General features: G+C 41.7%; 1 protein-coding gene across 2 annotated transcripts in view, besides 10 other annotated features; it reads left to right on the forward strand.

Annotated features, from left to right (window-relative positions):
* Nucleotides 1–16,013, forward strand: part of ST6GAL1 (ST6 beta-galactoside alpha-2,6-sialyltransferase 1) — a 148,028-nt gene that overhangs the window by 65,300 nt on the left and 66,715 nt on the right. The window lies entirely within an intron of this gene.
* Nucleotides 496–790: a silencer, noted in NCBI's record as "tiled region #4195; HepG2 Repressive non-DNase unmatched - State 23:Low". NCBI's record gives its function as "represses a minimal TATA promoter and a strong SV40 promoter by Sharpr-MPRA in HepG2 cells {active_cell/tissue: HepG2}" and the evidence as "EXISTENCE:reporter gene assay evidence [ECO:0000049][PMID:27701403]".
* Nucleotides 496–1,091: a biological region, named in NCBI's record as "Sharpr-MPRA regulatory region 4195".
* Nucleotides 612–1,091: an enhancer, noted in NCBI's record as "active region_20950". NCBI's record gives its function as "activates an Ori minimal core promoter by ATAC-STARR-seq in GM12878 lymphoblastoid cells {active_cell/tissue: GM12878}" and the evidence as "EXISTENCE:reporter gene assay evidence [ECO:0000049][PMID:35858748]".
* Nucleotides 1,422–1,501: a silencer, noted in NCBI's record as "silent region_14991". NCBI's record gives its function as "represses an Ori minimal core promoter by ATAC-STARR-seq in GM12878 lymphoblastoid cells {active_cell/tissue: GM12878}" and the evidence as "EXISTENCE:reporter gene assay evidence [ECO:0000049][PMID:35858748]".
* Nucleotides 1,852–1,961: an enhancer, noted in NCBI's record as "active region_20951". NCBI's record gives its function as "activates an Ori minimal core promoter by ATAC-STARR-seq in GM12878 lymphoblastoid cells {active_cell/tissue: GM12878}" and the evidence as "EXISTENCE:reporter gene assay evidence [ECO:0000049][PMID:35858748]".
* Nucleotides 2,545–3,435: an enhancer, noted in NCBI's record as "OCT4-NANOG-H3K27ac hESC enhancer chr3:186716158-186717048 (GRCh37/hg19 assembly coordinates)". NCBI's record gives its function as "activates a minimal SCP1, AML or CMV promoter by ChIP-STARR-seq in naive H9 embryonic stem cells {active_cell/tissue: H9 hESC(naive)}" and the evidence as "EXISTENCE:reporter gene assay evidence [ECO:0000049][PMID:30033119]".
* Nucleotides 3,436–4,326: an enhancer, noted in NCBI's record as "OCT4-NANOG-H3K27ac hESC enhancer chr3:186717049-186717939 (GRCh37/hg19 assembly coordinates)". NCBI's record gives its function as "activates a minimal SCP1, AML or CMV promoter by ChIP-STARR-seq in naive H9 embryonic stem cells {active_cell/tissue: H9 hESC(naive)}" and the evidence as "EXISTENCE:reporter gene assay evidence [ECO:0000049][PMID:30033119]".
* Nucleotides 4,865–5,084: an enhancer, noted in NCBI's record as "active region_20952". NCBI's record gives its function as "activates an Ori minimal core promoter by ATAC-STARR-seq in GM12878 lymphoblastoid cells {active_cell/tissue: GM12878}" and the evidence as "EXISTENCE:reporter gene assay evidence [ECO:0000049][PMID:35858748]".
* Nucleotides 5,095–5,144: an enhancer, noted in NCBI's record as "active region_20953". NCBI's record gives its function as "activates an Ori minimal core promoter by ATAC-STARR-seq in GM12878 lymphoblastoid cells {active_cell/tissue: GM12878}" and the evidence as "EXISTENCE:reporter gene assay evidence [ECO:0000049][PMID:35858748]".
* Nucleotides 5,285–5,404: an enhancer, noted in NCBI's record as "active region_20954". NCBI's record gives its function as "activates an Ori minimal core promoter by ATAC-STARR-seq in GM12878 lymphoblastoid cells {active_cell/tissue: GM12878}" and the evidence as "EXISTENCE:reporter gene assay evidence [ECO:0000049][PMID:35858748]".

Consider the following 16,013-nt stretch of genomic DNA (forward strand, 5'->3'; position numbering starts at 1 on the left):
AGATTGAGACTCTGTCTTGAGAAAAAAAAAAGATTGTTTAATAAATGCTTTTAATCAATAACTTCCCACGGGCGGGGACACTGATTTGAAATATAATCTTTGGGTGAGGTGTGTGGCTGCCCTGTCTCTGTATAGGTAGACACAGGCCCACAGGTGCAGTGGCCATATTATCGGTGCGTGTTTACTCCCATCGCATGTACCATTCCTCTCACAAACACCTGCTTCCTGATCATTTGTCTTTTTAAATAAAAATATGATATTTGAGATTCTTTTATTCTCTTTAAATATTTGAATACAGAGTCTATTTGAAGGACCAGTATATTGAATAGCAGTAATATTTGAAGGACTAGTCAGCTGTAGAAGCCTTGACTTCAGATCTTCACCCAAGAAACTCTGTGTATTTGCTTTTCCTGGGCCACTCAGATAGACAATTGTGTTTTTGATACAGTAAGAGTTTGCAGCTTAGCTTAACTAGAAATAATCCGGATCTTATTTTGGAATTAGGAAGAAACATGTTATGATGTAGAAAAGCCTGCTCTGTTACCTACATGATGGCATAGCTTTGTGCTTTTCATGCTTTGTGGCCTTGGAAGGGGGTAGATAGAGTGTAGGTGGTTAGGAGTTGTTTCCTGGCTAAAAATAGGAACAGCATACTGTGAGACAGGAGCTTCTTCTCTCACAAGCCTCTGTGCAAATAGCGGAGGGTTACGCATTTGCTGCAGGTGGTACTTAAGCTCCAAGAACTTACGGCACACCTGCTTGAGTGGATCATGGGTGAGCTGGAGAACCTGAAGTAGCAAAGGCAAGAAGGCAACGACGTTCCATCTGTGGAAGGACCTACCAACCAGGTATCTCTGGTGACAGGGCTCATCTCATAGGTGGCCCACTGTACATCATACCCTGATGTTTTCTTTGCATGACGTGCTATAGAATTCCAGGCTCATGCACACCTTTCTGCTCTCCTGTTTTGCAAATGTCTGCACTCTAGAGTCCTTCCTGTTGGCCACTACATACGTGTCCCCCGCTTCTTGCCCCTCTCTGCTTGGGTCCCTGCTACACTGGTATCCTGCACTTTCCACCTTGTATTGCCAGTTTGTTTCCAAGGCCATCTCCACTTTGAGCTTGTTCATGACCACCTCACACAGCACACTTGGTCTGTGTGGTGGTTTGAGGGGTTCTGTCTGTACACTGTGCTTTGGCTGTGTTGGAGGCGGGCAGGTGGGAAGGAAGAAATGTATTCTTGGGGAGATTTGTTTTTAGAGACATGAGACATGGAAAATAGTTAAGTAATAATATAATATGGGAGGCATGGACTATCAGAGGAGGCAGGCAGGACTGCCCAACCTCCTCACTGGGCACGTTACGCTACTTCCTCCTGACCTCTATAGTCCTTTGCATTTATCAAGCACTGTCATACGTGTTATCTCATGCAATGACCAGGGTGTCACCCCCTGTTTTGTAAGTGACAAAACTGTCACTCAGAGGGATGAAATGACATGCTAAAGGTCATCTAGTTAGTAATGGTGGAATCAGGGCTGGAGCCCAGTCTTCTAAGCCTAGTTCCTATTCTGCTCTTCATCATCTGTCTCAGGATGGTAAACTGAGGCCTGGAAAGGAGAAGGAACTCACCCAGCCTAAAGATTAAGGGTTTTATGCTGGCCACGGTGGCTCATGCCTCCCAACATTTTGAGAGGCTGAGGTGGGAGGATTGCTTGAGTCCAGGAGTTTGAGCCCAGCCTGGGCAACATAGTAAGACCCTGTCTTTACAAAAAATAAAAAAAAATAGCCAGGTGTGGTAGCACACACCAGTAGTCACGGCTACTCAGGAGGCTGAGGCGAGAGGATCACTTGAGCCTGCGAGATCGAGGCTGCAGTGAGCCGCAACGGAATCATTGCGCTCCAGCCTAGGACAGAGTGAGACTCTGTCTCAAAAAGAAAAAAAAAAAAAGATTTTAGACAGTGCTGACCATATTGAGACAATGCTGACTGGTGAGTGGGGACGGAGAAATAAAGAACTAACATTGTGCAGAACTGTGTTCTCAGCCAGTGCTATCTAATGGAAATAGAAAGCAAGCCACAAGTGTGGGCTGCATACGTAGTTTTCAGATTTGTAATAGACACATTAAAAAAGCAAAAAGAGGCCGGGCATGGTGGCTCGTGCCTATAATTCCAGCACTTTGGGAAGCTGAGGCAGGAGGATCACTTGAGCCCAGGAGTTAGAGACCAGCCTGGGCAACACCCTGTCTCTATTGTTATTTTTATAAAATTTAATTGTTTAAAAAATACGGGAAGTAAAAAGAAACAGATGAAATTAATTTAAACAACATAGAACTACACAGGGGTTAAGGGCACTAGCTCCCTGTGCAGTTGAAAGTCCATGTATATTTTCTGAAAGTAGACTCTGAAAAATAAGAAAAAGAAAGAAAATCCACGTATAACTTTTGACGGTCCCTAAACTTAATACGAATATCCTGTTAACCAGAAGCCTTACTGATAACATAAAAAACTGATGAACACATATTTTATATGTTATGTGTTTTATATACTGTATTCTTGTAATAAAGTAAGCTAGGGAAAAGAATGTTAGGAAAATCATAAGAAAGAGAAAATGTATTTATTATTTAGTAAGTGGAAGTGGATCCTCATAAAGGTCTTCATCCTCATCATCTTCACATTGAGCAGGCTGAGGAGGAGGAAGAGGAGGGATTGGGTTTGTTTCAGGAATGGCAGAGGTAGAAGGAGGGCGAGGGGGAGGCAGGAGAGACAGGCACACTTAGTGTAACTTTTATTGAAAAAATCTGCATATAAATGGAACTGTGCTGTTTAAGGATCAACTGTATTTTATTTAACTCAATATATTCAAAATACTCTTACTTTCTCATGTAATCAATATAAAATTACGAATCATACTTTCTACATTCCTTTTTCCATAAGAAATCTTCAGTGTGTATTTTTACACTTACAGCACGTCTCATCTGGCCTAGCCACATCTGGCTAGTGGCTGTTGCATTGTGGAGCCCAGTTCTAAGCATTTTACGTATATTATTTCATATAGTTCAATAATCACGTGAAAAGTTTATTACAGAACTATCTAATGGTTGAGGAAATGAAGCCCAGAGAGGTTAGGTAACTTGCCTGGGGGGCACGAAGCTGGAAAGCAACAGAACTGGATCCTGGCCTCTCCCTCCTCTTCCCACTGTGGCCAACTGCCAGCCGACCAGGAAGGGGGCCCGGGGGCAATGCAGGGGTATCTTATTTCCAAACCATTGTTAAACTTGCTCTTGTGGAGGCAGCTGGCCCTGGGGAAGTAAAGGGAATCCTCCTTTTTAAATGCATATGCGAAAGTTAAGGGAATCCTTTCACTAGGCGGTAAGCCTCTGTCTAGGGCCGTGGGACCATTAACACCACTCGCCTCGTAGAAGGTGTGTGTCATTCAAGGTGATAATGCATAGGAACAGCTCAGCTATGTCAGGGCCAGGCCATTATGGGTGCTGAATAAATGTGTTTCTGTCCCCTATGCTAAGGCAAGACATCCGGGGAAGAAGTAGGCCCGGATTTGTCGCCTTGAAGGAAGACTACTATAATCTCTTTTTTTTTTTTTTTTGAGACGGAGTCTCACTCCGTAGCCCAGACTGGAGTGCAGTGGCACGATCTCGGCTCACTGCAAGCTCCGCCTCCCTGGTTCAGGCCATTCTCCTGCCTCAGCCTCCCGAGTAGCTGGGACTACAGGAGTGCACCACTGCGCCTGGCTAATTTTGTATTTTTAGTAGAGATGGGGTTTCACCGTGTTAGCCAGGATGGTCTCGATCTCCTGACCTCATGATCCTCCCGTCTTGGCCTCCTAAAGCACTGGGATTACAGTCATGAGCCACCGTGTCCAGCCAAGACTACTATATTCTAATGGAGGGTAAGTGGAGTAGGAGGGCCATGTGCGTGCTCTGGGGGCAACAAACTTGGTGCTAAACTTGTTTTTCTTGTTTTACTCACAAACATTATGACAGCAGTAAAGATACACTTTTATTTATTTATATTTTTTTTAGAGACAGAGTCCTCCTCTGTTGCCCAGGCTGGAGTGGCTATTGTAGTTCACTGCAGCCTTGAACTTGTGGGCTTGGGATCCTCCTGTCTCAGCCTCCTGAGTAGCTGGGACTATAGGCGTGCACTATCACACTGAGCTATTTTAAGAACATTTTTGTAGAGTATGTTGGCCAGACGGATCTTGAACCTCTGGCCTCCAGCATTCTTCCTGCCTTGGCCTCTCAAAGTGATGGGATTCATAAGCATGAGTCATGGTGCCCAGCCAAGATACATTTTTAAAATGTATCCTGCCTCCTGACACATTACTGTTCACTTGTAACAATGGTCACTTGTAATCATAGTCTGTTTGCAAAGCAAGCTTTTAATAGAATTACAATTTTAGTGTTGACCAAAAGTTTATTTTGGGCCGGATGTGGTGGCTCACGTCTGTAATCTCAGCACTTTGGGAGGCTGAGGTGGGTGGATCACCTGAGGTTAGGAGTTCGAGACCAGCCTGGCCAACATGGTGAAACCCCATCTCTACTAAAAATACAAAAAAAAAAAAAAAAAATTAGCTAGGCTTGGTGGAGGTGCCCGTAATCCCAGCTACTCGGGAGGCTGAGGCAGGAGAATCGCTTGAACCCGGGAGGCCGAGGTGGCAGTGAGCCAAGATTTTGCCATTGCACTCCAGCCTGGGTGACAAGATCGAGACTCTGGCTCAAAAAAAAGTTTATTTTGTTTCTATAAACATTGTTTTTCATCTTTATAGTGCATGTCTTTTGTTAATGGCTTCATAGGCAATCGATGGACTTCTGGATCACAATTTTGCTTGTTCCTATGGCTAGATATTTAGGTTGTTCCAAATTTTCTCAGCATTACATTTGATGCTACAGTAGGCACCCACACATTTATGTTTCTTTTCTGTTTTTCAACTATTGTTGGTTGTTCTGAGGTATTTTCGTAAGGTTTCACTTCTGTTTTCCCAGCCATGAGTGATACATGAGCACAACTGTTTTGCTATTAATCACCAGCATTGGGTGTGAAAATTTACTCAAAGTTTTGCTAAATTTAACTGGAGTAGAAATGGGCCATGCATTTGTGCGTACTTCCCCAGATGCTTTTTAGAACAGTGCTTGTGTAACTGACCAGAGTGTCAGGTGAGGCCATTGTTGGCAGAAAGGTGCCTTCCTCGGGAGAAGGTGGGTTACACAGCTTTTCTTTGCAGATGAATGGTGAGAGCCAAACCCGAAGACCCACAGGTTTCAAGCTGGCCATGTGGCTTCACTAAGTTTGGCCTCAACTTCCCACAGTGGCACAGAAGCGAGGTAGAACTCAGTGTTCCTACCCGAACCCTGGACATTCTGAAATGTCCACAGCCCGAGGAAAGGGATGACCTGCATGTCACTTTCCATACCCTCCACTGCACATAGATCTGTCTCAGGCATTGAATCAGAGGGATGTGTGACTTTGGACAAATTATTTTACCTTTCTCTGCCTCATTTCTTCATCTAAAATCAGGTGACAGCAATGTCTCCCTGTAATATTGCAGTGGGGATTAAATCTGTTAATACTTGAAAAGTGCTGAGATCAGTGCCTGGCACATAAGTAGTGCTCAATAACTGTTGTAAACCTGGGTTTGGATCTCACTTCCATTGCTTTCTGGAGGCCCACTTTGGTCAAATGGCTGACCTTTCTGGACTTCAGCTTCATCTGTAAAATGGGATTATGGCATCTACTTCAGCATCATGTTAGGGGTTTAAGTGAGAAAATGCATTTCACACAGTGTCCTGCACATAAAGGGCCCACCATATATGTAATGAAAAACAAACAAACGGCCGGGCTCAGTGGCTCACTCCTGTAATCTCAGCACTTTGGGAGGCCCAGGCGGGCAGATCACGAGGTCAGGAGTTTGAGACCAGCCTGGTCAACATGGTGAAACCCCGTCTCTACTAAAAATACAAAAATTAGCCGGGTGTGGTGGCGCGCGCCTGTAATCCCAGCTACTCAGGAGGCTGAGGCAGGAGAATTGCTTGAACCCGGGAGGCGGAGGTTGCAGTGAGCCGAGATCACGCCACTGCACTCCAGCCTGGACAACAGAGTGAGACTTTGTCTCAAAAAAAAAAAAAAAACCCAAAAACAAAACAAACAAACAATGTTTTTAGCTTTATTTTCTACTCTACCAAAGAGAGAGCTTTGTTGCCTTATATTGGTGTTGTAATTAGCTGTTAGATCTGACCATATTTTCTGTTATGGTGTATTTTTAAGTCCACATTCTAGGTTTAAGGCCATCTTGAAACAAATGGGAGGCAAATCAACATTTTCGTGTGTCTGAAGCTTTTAATGTAATTTTGTTTTGGAGATGAATGAGCTCATAATTCCACAAAGAAGGGATGATATTTCATATACTTATTAGTTTAGTGATTTCCCTCCCACACTTAGTGTCAAACTGTCAGGTTTATGGAAGCTATCAAATGTTTCTTTATGCTCAGCAGCACAGATCAAAGTTGTCTACATGATAAGGTAAAAAACATATTCTTTAGGAAATGCAAAGAAATGACCCAAAAGACCCTTGAGCACAGCTCATTCCTCTCCCTGGTCTGTCCAACTTTCCCTCAGGAAAAGTCAATGTAGTCATTATGTCTGGAAAATGCCAAGGACTTCTTTCCCTCATTTTTTACATGGCCTTGCACTCTGTGAGGCATTGGCTGGGAGGTTCATTGTGGCTTTCTTGCCGCTAAGCATCTCCTCTCTGCCAACATCTCATCAATTCCTGTCTGTGCCAATTACCTTTGCTTAGGATTTGGGGTGAGGAAAGTTGTGTGATTTGTCTGTTTCTGTTTCTGGGTAAAATCTCAACTCTGGGCGTATCAGCAGAAAGGGTTCTGAAATGTCCCTTGATTCAGATGATTCTGAATCAATAGCATGTATGTGTGTGTGCATAATTACCCTTACCCAGAAAATTCTCCATTATAATTCTTTAAAAGCACAGGTTCACAAATTATTAGAAAGTATATTTTGTATACTATTTACGGTAGCAAAATATCAAATGCAAGAAGCAAGTTTAATTAAAGATAGGCAAGACATTTTACTGAAGAATATAAAACATTAGTAAGAGAAATAAAACAATGGCTTATGCAATTATGGAAACTGACAATTACCAAGATCTGCGACTGGCAAGGTGGAGGCCCAGGAGCAGCAATGGTGCAGTTCCAGTCTGAGTCCAAAGGCCTGAGAACCAGGGAAAGCCAATGGCGTAGTTCTAGTGCAAATGCCAGTTGGCCTAAGGCCTTTCAGTTTGAGTCCAAAGGCAGGGGGAAAAAAACCCCAAAACCAAACCAAACCAAAACAACAACAGCAAAAACAATGCCCCAGCTCAAGGCAGTCAGACAGGAGGAGCTCCCTCTTACCTGTGGGAAGGTCAGCCTGTTTTACTGTATTCAGGCCTTTAACCGATTGGATAAGGCCCACCGTTAGAGAGGGGGCAATCTGCTGTACTCAGCCTGCTGATTCCAGTGCTAATTTTATCCAAAACAACCTCATTGAAACACCCAGAATATTTGACTAAATATCTGGGTACTCTGTGGCGCAGTCCAGTTGACACATAAAATCAGCCATCACCATCAATTTGGGGGAAAATTGACATTTTAACAAAATTGAATCTTTCAGTTGATCAGCATGGTATATATCCTCCATTTATTTAGATCTTTTATTGCTCTCACTAGTGTTTTGTAGTTTTCAGTAAAAAGTCTTGCCTATCTTTAATTAAATTTGCTTCTTGGCATTGGATACTTTGCTACTGTAAACAGTATATAAGATATATTTTCCAATGATTTGTGAAATTTTGCTTTTGAAGAATTATAATGGAGAATTTTTAGGAGAAGGATAATTGAAAATCCGTCAGACAGCAGTGAAGTTTAGGAACTACCATTCTGGACATAACCATACATCATTAATAAAATATTCCTTACATCCCTATGCTACTTTATTATTGCCAAAACATTTTTTTTTCCTTTGGTCCTCGTAAGGGTTCTTAGAAAGAGACAGAAGAGCTATTATTTCTACTTTCATACAAGGAAATGTGGCCTCAGGGATTGATGTGGTTTGAATATATGTCCCCACCAAATCTCATGTTGAAATGTAACCCCCAGTGCTGGAGGTGGGGCCTGCTGGGAGGTGTTTGGGTCATGGGTGTGGATCTTTCATGGCTTGGAGCTGTCCTCACAACAGTGAGTTCTCATGAGATCTGGTTGTTTCAAAGTGTGTAGCACCTTCCCCACCACTGCCTCTTGCTTTTGCTTTCGCCATGTGATGTGCCTGCTTCTGCTTCACCTTCCACCATAACTAAAAGCTCCCTGAGGCCTCCCCGGCAAGTGAGCAGATGCTGGCACCATGCTTGTGCAGCCTGCAGAGCTGTGAGCCAATTAAATCTCCTTTCTCTGTAAATTACCCAATCTCAGGTATTTATAGCAATGGAAGAACAGACTAACACAGGGAGACTATCTGAAAGTCCTATGACTAGCAAGTGGCAGAGCCAGCCCCAGAGCCCAGGACTTTTCCTAAGAGAGAGGTCCTGCTTCTGATACCAAAGTTTTTCTATAGAAAGATGGCCTTTTATAAGCATTACTGAGAAGATACCTCCAGGTGCCCAGGAAGAATCTCCTGCTTGTAGCCTCCATAGGCAGTGTAGGAGGAAGGGAAGAAAACAGCAGAGTGGACCAAGGTAGCAATATGTAATACACTAGAGTCGGGAGCGAGAATGATGTCCTGTTAGCTTATACGGCACTTTCGTGCTATTAAGAAAGGATGCCCTTTCAGCCAGTACCAGATGCCATTATGCAGTGAACAACTTGTACAGTCATATGTGACATCCCAGAGAGAAAACAACAAATACAGAAACCTTACTTATTCAGGAATTAATTATTGATGAGGAAGCTAAATTGGTGTTTCTTTCCTTTAGAGAAATTGATTGAAAATACTTCAAGATGATTCAAAGCTAAAAGAGAAGAAATCATCTTTCTTTCTTCTCCCTTTTACAACCTTTCTATCTTCTATCCTTTCTCTTTCTCCTCTTCTTCCTTTCATTACTCAGCACTTATTGAGTGCCAGGGCATGAAAATGCAGAGATAAATGAGGTGGCATCTCTCCCTAGGAGCTTCTAAGTCTTACAAACGTTTTTGACTGCCACCATCAATAAGAAGTACATTTTATGGTATTGCAGTTTTTTTTTTAGGTCTTTCTTTTTTAAGGTTTTTATATATTGAAACATTTATTAATGAAATGATGAGTTCAGGATTTGTTTCAAAATCTAGGGATGTAGGCGTAAGTGGGGTATACACAAAACAGGACTGACCATGAGTTGATAATACTGAAACTGGTCATGGGTCTGTGGGGTTCATTATCTGTCATCCATGTTTCTTTTTCTTTTTCTTTTTTTTTTTTTTTTTTTTTTTGAGACGGAGTCTTCGCTGTTTCGCCCAGGCTGGAGTGCAGTGGCGCGATCTCGGCTCAGTGCAAGCTCCACCTCCCGGGTTCATGCCATTCTCTTGCCTCAGCCTCCCCGGTAGCTGGGACTACAGGTGCCCGCCACCATGCCCGGCTAACTTTTGTATTTTTTAGTAGAGATGGGGTTTCACCGTGTTAGCCAGGATGGTCTCGATCTCCTGACCTCGTGATCTGCCCGCCTCGGCCTCCCAAAGTGCTGGGATTACAGGCATGAGCCACGGCGCCCGGCATCTGTCATCCATCTTTCTAATGATCTATTTGAGACAAAAGTTTCATGAAGCTCTACTTTCTCTTATTACATGCAGTGGATTCTGATATTTTAAAATCTTGTTTATTCTCTTTTTAAAAACCTGGTCCTTGTGCCCAAATTGCTTTTGAGATCCACTGATGTAAAATAATACGTATTTTGAAAAACACTGGTGTATCGAGGGAGAGAGGGACCTATAAAATAATTGATTACTGTCAACCAGAAAGTGCTACTAGAATATGGTCAGAGGGCTGTGGGAGCACACAGAAGGGAAGGACCGACCAACAGGGTCCTGGGGAGTCTGGGAAAGCCCTTCAGTAACTTGCATGGAAGAGGAGACATAGGCATCTTTGACAAGATGGTGGGGGGATATCTGACCTTGAGGATGAGGGAAGTGGTGCAAGTGGGGTGAGCCAACCTGAGTTCAGTATGGCTGCAATGTGAGGGCTGTTGGGGAGTGGCAGGAAATGAGGTTACAGATAGCAGCAGCAGCAAAAGTCACTAGTCTTCTGGGACAGCCTAAGGAATTTATATTTTATCTGTGTTTCAGGGAACCATTGGAGGATAAACTGAGAAATGGCCCAGTTCCATTTGCCTCTTACAGAGATCATTCCGTCGGCTCCTTGTAGATAGACCAGTCTACCTCTGTGGTCTGATTTAGAACATAAAACCTAGACCCAAAGGAGAGCCAGTCTGGAAGCCAGATCTAACCTACCTCATGTAATCATGTCCCCACTCTGCCACATGACTTCTCAGATCTACACAGAACACAAATTGGGCTTTTTCAAGTATTTATCAAAACAAAAATTATGGTCACTTTCAGGACATAGGAAGAGGTGAAAATAGAGCCAATTCCCTGTGTGCTCCTTTCCCCTTTTCCCTGCATAGGGTTCTCTCATCTGTAGAGTTACGGCAACCTGTGAGAGATTCATAGTAATCACCTACAGTGTGGCATTTTTCTAGGTGCTTTACAACTATTAACTCACTTAATCTTCATAATAATTCTATGTGGTAAGTATTATTATTATTAATTTCATAGATGAGGAAACTGAGGTAAAAAGAAGTAAGTGATTTGTCTAAGGTCACACATCTAGCAATTAGCAGAGCTGGAATTTTGGCAATCTGGCCCCAAAGTCCACTTTTAACCACCATTGTGCTTCTTGATTAAGTTTGATTTCATTCCAGTCATCTCCTTAGACTCAGATGTTTGAACAAAGAGAATCGTGAAAAAAATTTGGCTTTAAGTTTTATTCTCAAGATTGCCAAATCCCTTTCTTCCCTAATGAGAGGAAGAGGAAAGTTTTCTAGCTGGGAGAAAAAGGATGGCTTCTTAGAAGGAAGTGGTATTTTAGTGGAGTTTTGAAACATGGATGAGAAGTAAATTGCTGAGAAGGATGAGTTGCTAGTACAGCCAAGATGAAATAATCCAACCACAATCTCTACCAATGTTTACAACAGAAAGCTGAATAGGATGCAAAAAACCACATGAAAACTCTGAAAAGTAATAGCAGGCAGGCAGAGTACTGGGTTCAAAACTTGAACAATGACTCACGATGAACATGGATTTGCAGAACAGTGTGGAAAGCTAAGAGTCCGAGATAACTCCATCTTTCTAACTAGAGGAAGCAGGGGGGAAAAGCCACTGGAAGCCAGAGAGTGTGAGGAAATCCCTGAGAGGAGAGAGGTGGAAAAAGGGATCCACAAATTGGACTGACAAAAGTCCTGGGCACACTACAAGGTGTGCATGCATGGAACAGACCCAGGAGGCACAGAAGAGGTTTTGAGAATCTAACTATGATATTAACAACCACCCAAGTCCCAGACAAACTCTTGAATGGAGCATGTGACAGATTGACTCAAATGGCATACCAAAAGCTTTGAAAACTGATCTGACACTGGAGCTAACACTCATAAAAAGTGAGACAGTACTTTCAGTCTGAACCTAAGTGGATTAATTTCCTGGTAAAACAAACAAACAAACAAACATTTTTCAGATGATTTTTAACAGGATTCAGAGTCTCACAACATATTAAAAAATCCAGGATACAATTCAAATTTACTCAATATCAAAACAACCTGGAAAATCTAAACAGTACTCAAAGGAAAAGACAGTTCAATAGGCAGTAACACTGAAATGACTTAGATCGTGAAATTATTAGACAAATAAAGTAGGTATGACCATTCTCCACTCTTGAAATTAGAAAGTTCTTGAAATTAGGAAAGATAGAAGTTCTCAGCAGAGAACTAGAAACTGCAGAATAATCAGATAGAAATTTTAGACCTGAAAAGATGATATGGGCCCAGTAGCGGAATAAATATAACAGAGAAAAGAGTCAGTGAACCTGAAGGTAGATCAATAGAAAGTATACACAATGAAATATACATTATGAAACAAAAAAAAATTGGAGAAAAATGAAAAGCCTTTCATGGTACTGTGGGACAATGTCAAAAGGCTGAAACTTCTTGGTATTGGCATTCCATCTCAGAAGGTAAAAAGAAAAATACTGGTGCAGAAAAAAATATTTGGAGAAAGAGTGGCTGAAATAGTTTCAAATTTAAAGAAAAACGTATCTTCACAAATTGAAGAATCTCAGTAATTTCAAACAGGATACATTTAATAACAACTCCTCAGCCACCTCATAAGAAAACTTCTAAAAACCAAGGATTAAAAAACATTAAGAGCATTAAAATATGACACATTATACGTAAGAAAAGGGAAGGAAGAAAAGAGAAGAAAGGAAGGACTCAAGAAAGAGAGAAAGAAAGAAAAAAGAGAAAAGGAAAGGAAGGAAGGAAGGAAGGAAGAAACCTATTCGAATGACTGTCCATTTCTCATCCAAAACCATGGTGGCCAAAGACGAAGACAGTGAAACCCCGTCTTTAGAATGCTGGAAGAACAAAAAAACTATCCACCCAGAATTTTATATCCAGAAAAAATATTCTTTGGGAGTGAAAGCAAAATAGAGATATTTTCAGGTGATGGAAAACCAAGAGGCTTCATTTCCAGGAGCTCTCCTCTTAAAGAAATACTAATGGAAGTTTTTCAACCTGAAGGGAAGCTGTACTAGAGGAAAAGTTAAAACTTGAGGAACAAAAGAAGAGCAGGAGAAATAATAAATATCTAATACATTCCCCTTGATAAAAATACACACAAACATAAATCTCATGACATGGGTAACTACAAACTACTGGCGATATTTTAGATTTATTTCCTTTAAGTCTTTTTTTTCTGTGAATATGCGTTTCTCTTTTTCTTTTTTGGTTTTTCTCTCTCTGTCTCTTCCTTTCATGTGGACATTTCATAACATATTTAAATATTCCTTTTTGTTGGGATTTGAGGTTGTTTCAGGTTATGCATGGACTGAAGTCAAACTACAGTCTTTGGCAGCATTTCTGATAATTCTTTTTTGGAGATAGAATTACTGAATTAAAAGAAGATGGACATTTTTAATGCTTTGATTCTATTTGTGAAATTGCCCACCCTCCCTCCCTTCTTTTCTTCTTTGCTTCCTTACCTCCCCTCTTTCTTCCTCCCTTTTTCTTTCAACTAAGATTATGTAGTATATAGTTTTATAATATTCTTTATTTATTCAATCTATATTGTGAGCATTTTCCTGTTTTGTTAAAAAGTCAATAATTAAAAAAACTTTTAAGTTTTTAAATTATTTTTAATGGTACTATGGTCGTATTTTTTTAAAGGTACATAATTACATGTTTATGGATGGAATGATATGTCTGGGATTTACTTAAAATACTTAGGGATAGGTGGCTATGAATAAAACATTATTGACCCTGAATTGATAATTGTTGATGCTAGGTAACGGATACATGGTGGTTCATTATTGCTACTTTCTATAGTTTTCTATGAGTGCAATTTTTTATTTTAAAACTTTATCTGAGTGTGGTGGTGTGTGCCTGTAGTCCTAGCTACTTGGGAGGCTGAGGAGGGAGGATGGCCTGAGCCCAGGAGCTCAAGGCTGCAGTGAGCTATCACTGTGCCACTGTCCTCCAGCCTGGGTGACAGAGTGAGACCCGGTCTCTAAAAATAAGTAAGTGAATAAATGTTTTAAAAGTAAAAACTGTAAGAAATGTTTATGAATTTATTTTTAATTGTTCAATCGTGACCCATTGTGGCTGGGCATGGTGACTCACGGCTATAATCCCAGCACTTTGGTAGGCTGAGGCGGGTGGATCATGAGGTCAGGAGTTCAAGACCACCCTGGCCAAGATGCTGAAACCCCGTCTCTACTAAAAAATACAATAATTAGCCAGGCGTGGTGGTGGGCACCTGTAATCCCAGCTACTCAGGAGGCCGAGGCAGGAGAATCGCTTGAACCCGGGAGTCGGAGGTTGCGGTGAGCCGAGATCACGCCACTGCACTCCAGCCTGGGCAACAGAGCGAGACTCCATCTAAAAAAAGAAAAAATTATAACCCTTTGTGTGGACATTTCATAACATATTTAACTTGTCCTCTTTAAAGGAAGAGGACAAGTTAAATTGTCCTCTTGGGAATTGAGGTTATTTCAGGTTATTCATGGGCTGACATAAAACTGCAGTCTTTGCTTCTCTGAATACTTCTTTTTTTGAGATGGAATTACTGGGTTAAAAGAGAATGGTCATTTTTAATGCTTTGATATATTTAATCAAATTGTCCTTCAGAGAAGACGTTCCATGTTATTTTTCCATGAGTTACTTAAAAGTGACCTTGTCAGCTCTATTGTAATTTTTTAGTCTATTAATTTGGTGGGGGAAAGTGTATGTTATTATTTTAATTGAATTTCTTTTATTTCCAGTGACATTGAATCCCCAGCCTGTCACTGAATTGGTTCCCACCCGTTTAGGGAGGAGGCAGAGACAAGAGTAGAAGAAAAATGATTTATTTATTTTTTGAGATGGAGTTGTCCAGGCTGGAGTGCAGTGGTGGTGTAATGCCCAACCTTGTTTTTACTAACCCTGTTTTTAGACTCTCCCTTTTCCTTTAATCACCTAGCCTTGTTTCCACCTGAATTGACTCTCCCTTAGCTAAGAGAGCCAGACAGACTCCATCTTGGCTCTTTCACTGGCAGCCCCTTCCTCAGGGACTTAACTTGTGCAAGCTGACTCCCAGCACATCCAAGAATGCAGTTAACTGATAAGATACTGTGGCGAGCAATATCTGCAATTCCCAGGAATTAGTCTGATTGATAACGCCCAAAGCCCCGCGTCTATCACCTTGTAATAGTCTTAAAGCCCCTGCACCTGGAACTGTTTACTTTCCTGTAACCATTCATCCTTTTAACTTTTTTACCTATTTTATTTCTGTAAAATTGTTTTAACTAGACCCCCCTCCCCTTTCTAAACCAAAGTATAAAAGAAAATCTAGCCCCTTCTTCGGGGCCGAGAGAACTTTGAGCGTTAGCTGTCTCTTGGCCGCCGGCTAAATAAACAGACTCTTAATTCGTCTCAAAGTGTGGCGTTTTCTCTAACTTGGTCAAGTACAACAGTGTGACCTCTGCTTCCCAGGTTCAAGTGATTCGCTTGCCTCAGCCTCCTGAGTAGCTGGGATTACAGGCATATGCCACCATGCCCGGCAAATTTTTGTATTTTTAGTAGGGATAGGGTTTCACCATGTTGGCCAGGCCGGTCTCGAACTACTGACCTCAAGTGATCCGCCCACTTCGGCCTCCCAAAGTGCTGGGATTACAGGCGTGAGCCACCGTGCCCGGAGAAAAAGGATTTATTTTCTCTTCCTCGTTCTTCACTTTGAAGATGAGAGGCAAACACAGACAGATCCCAGATTCAAATCCTGGCTCTACAACTTACTAGTTACTGATTTTGTACCTTTATTTTTCTGACCCTCAGATTTTTTACTGAAGAAATCAGTGCAATCATGAACTGTGAAGTAATAGACATTTATAGAGAAAATGCCTGGGGTGCAATGGTCATTCTGAAAATGGTAGCTTTTGTTGTCCTTGGGAAGCTGAGGCTCAGGATGTGAAACAACCTCCTGCTCTTTTTCAGAGGCGGCAAGGAGCTCAGAGCTGGGTTCCTTCACACAGGGAAGGCCCCTTGCAGGAACTGCTGCTGGTATCTGCGTCATTAATTCTTTACCTTTTATTCTTCCAGGCTCCTGTAACCATTTATCCTTTTAACTTTTTTACCTATTTTATTTCTGTAAAATTTTATTTCTGTATCTTCCATGCCCTGCTGGGCATGAAGGCAGCTATCACAGGCCAGGAAATTCATGTTAGGGAATTGGGTCATCTTA

The sequence above is a fragment of the Homo sapiens genome, chromosome 3, assembly GCF_000001405.40.
Source record: "Homo sapiens chromosome 3, GRCh38.p14 Primary Assembly".
NCBI lineage: Eukaryota > Metazoa > Chordata > Mammalia > Primates > Hominidae > Homo > Homo sapiens.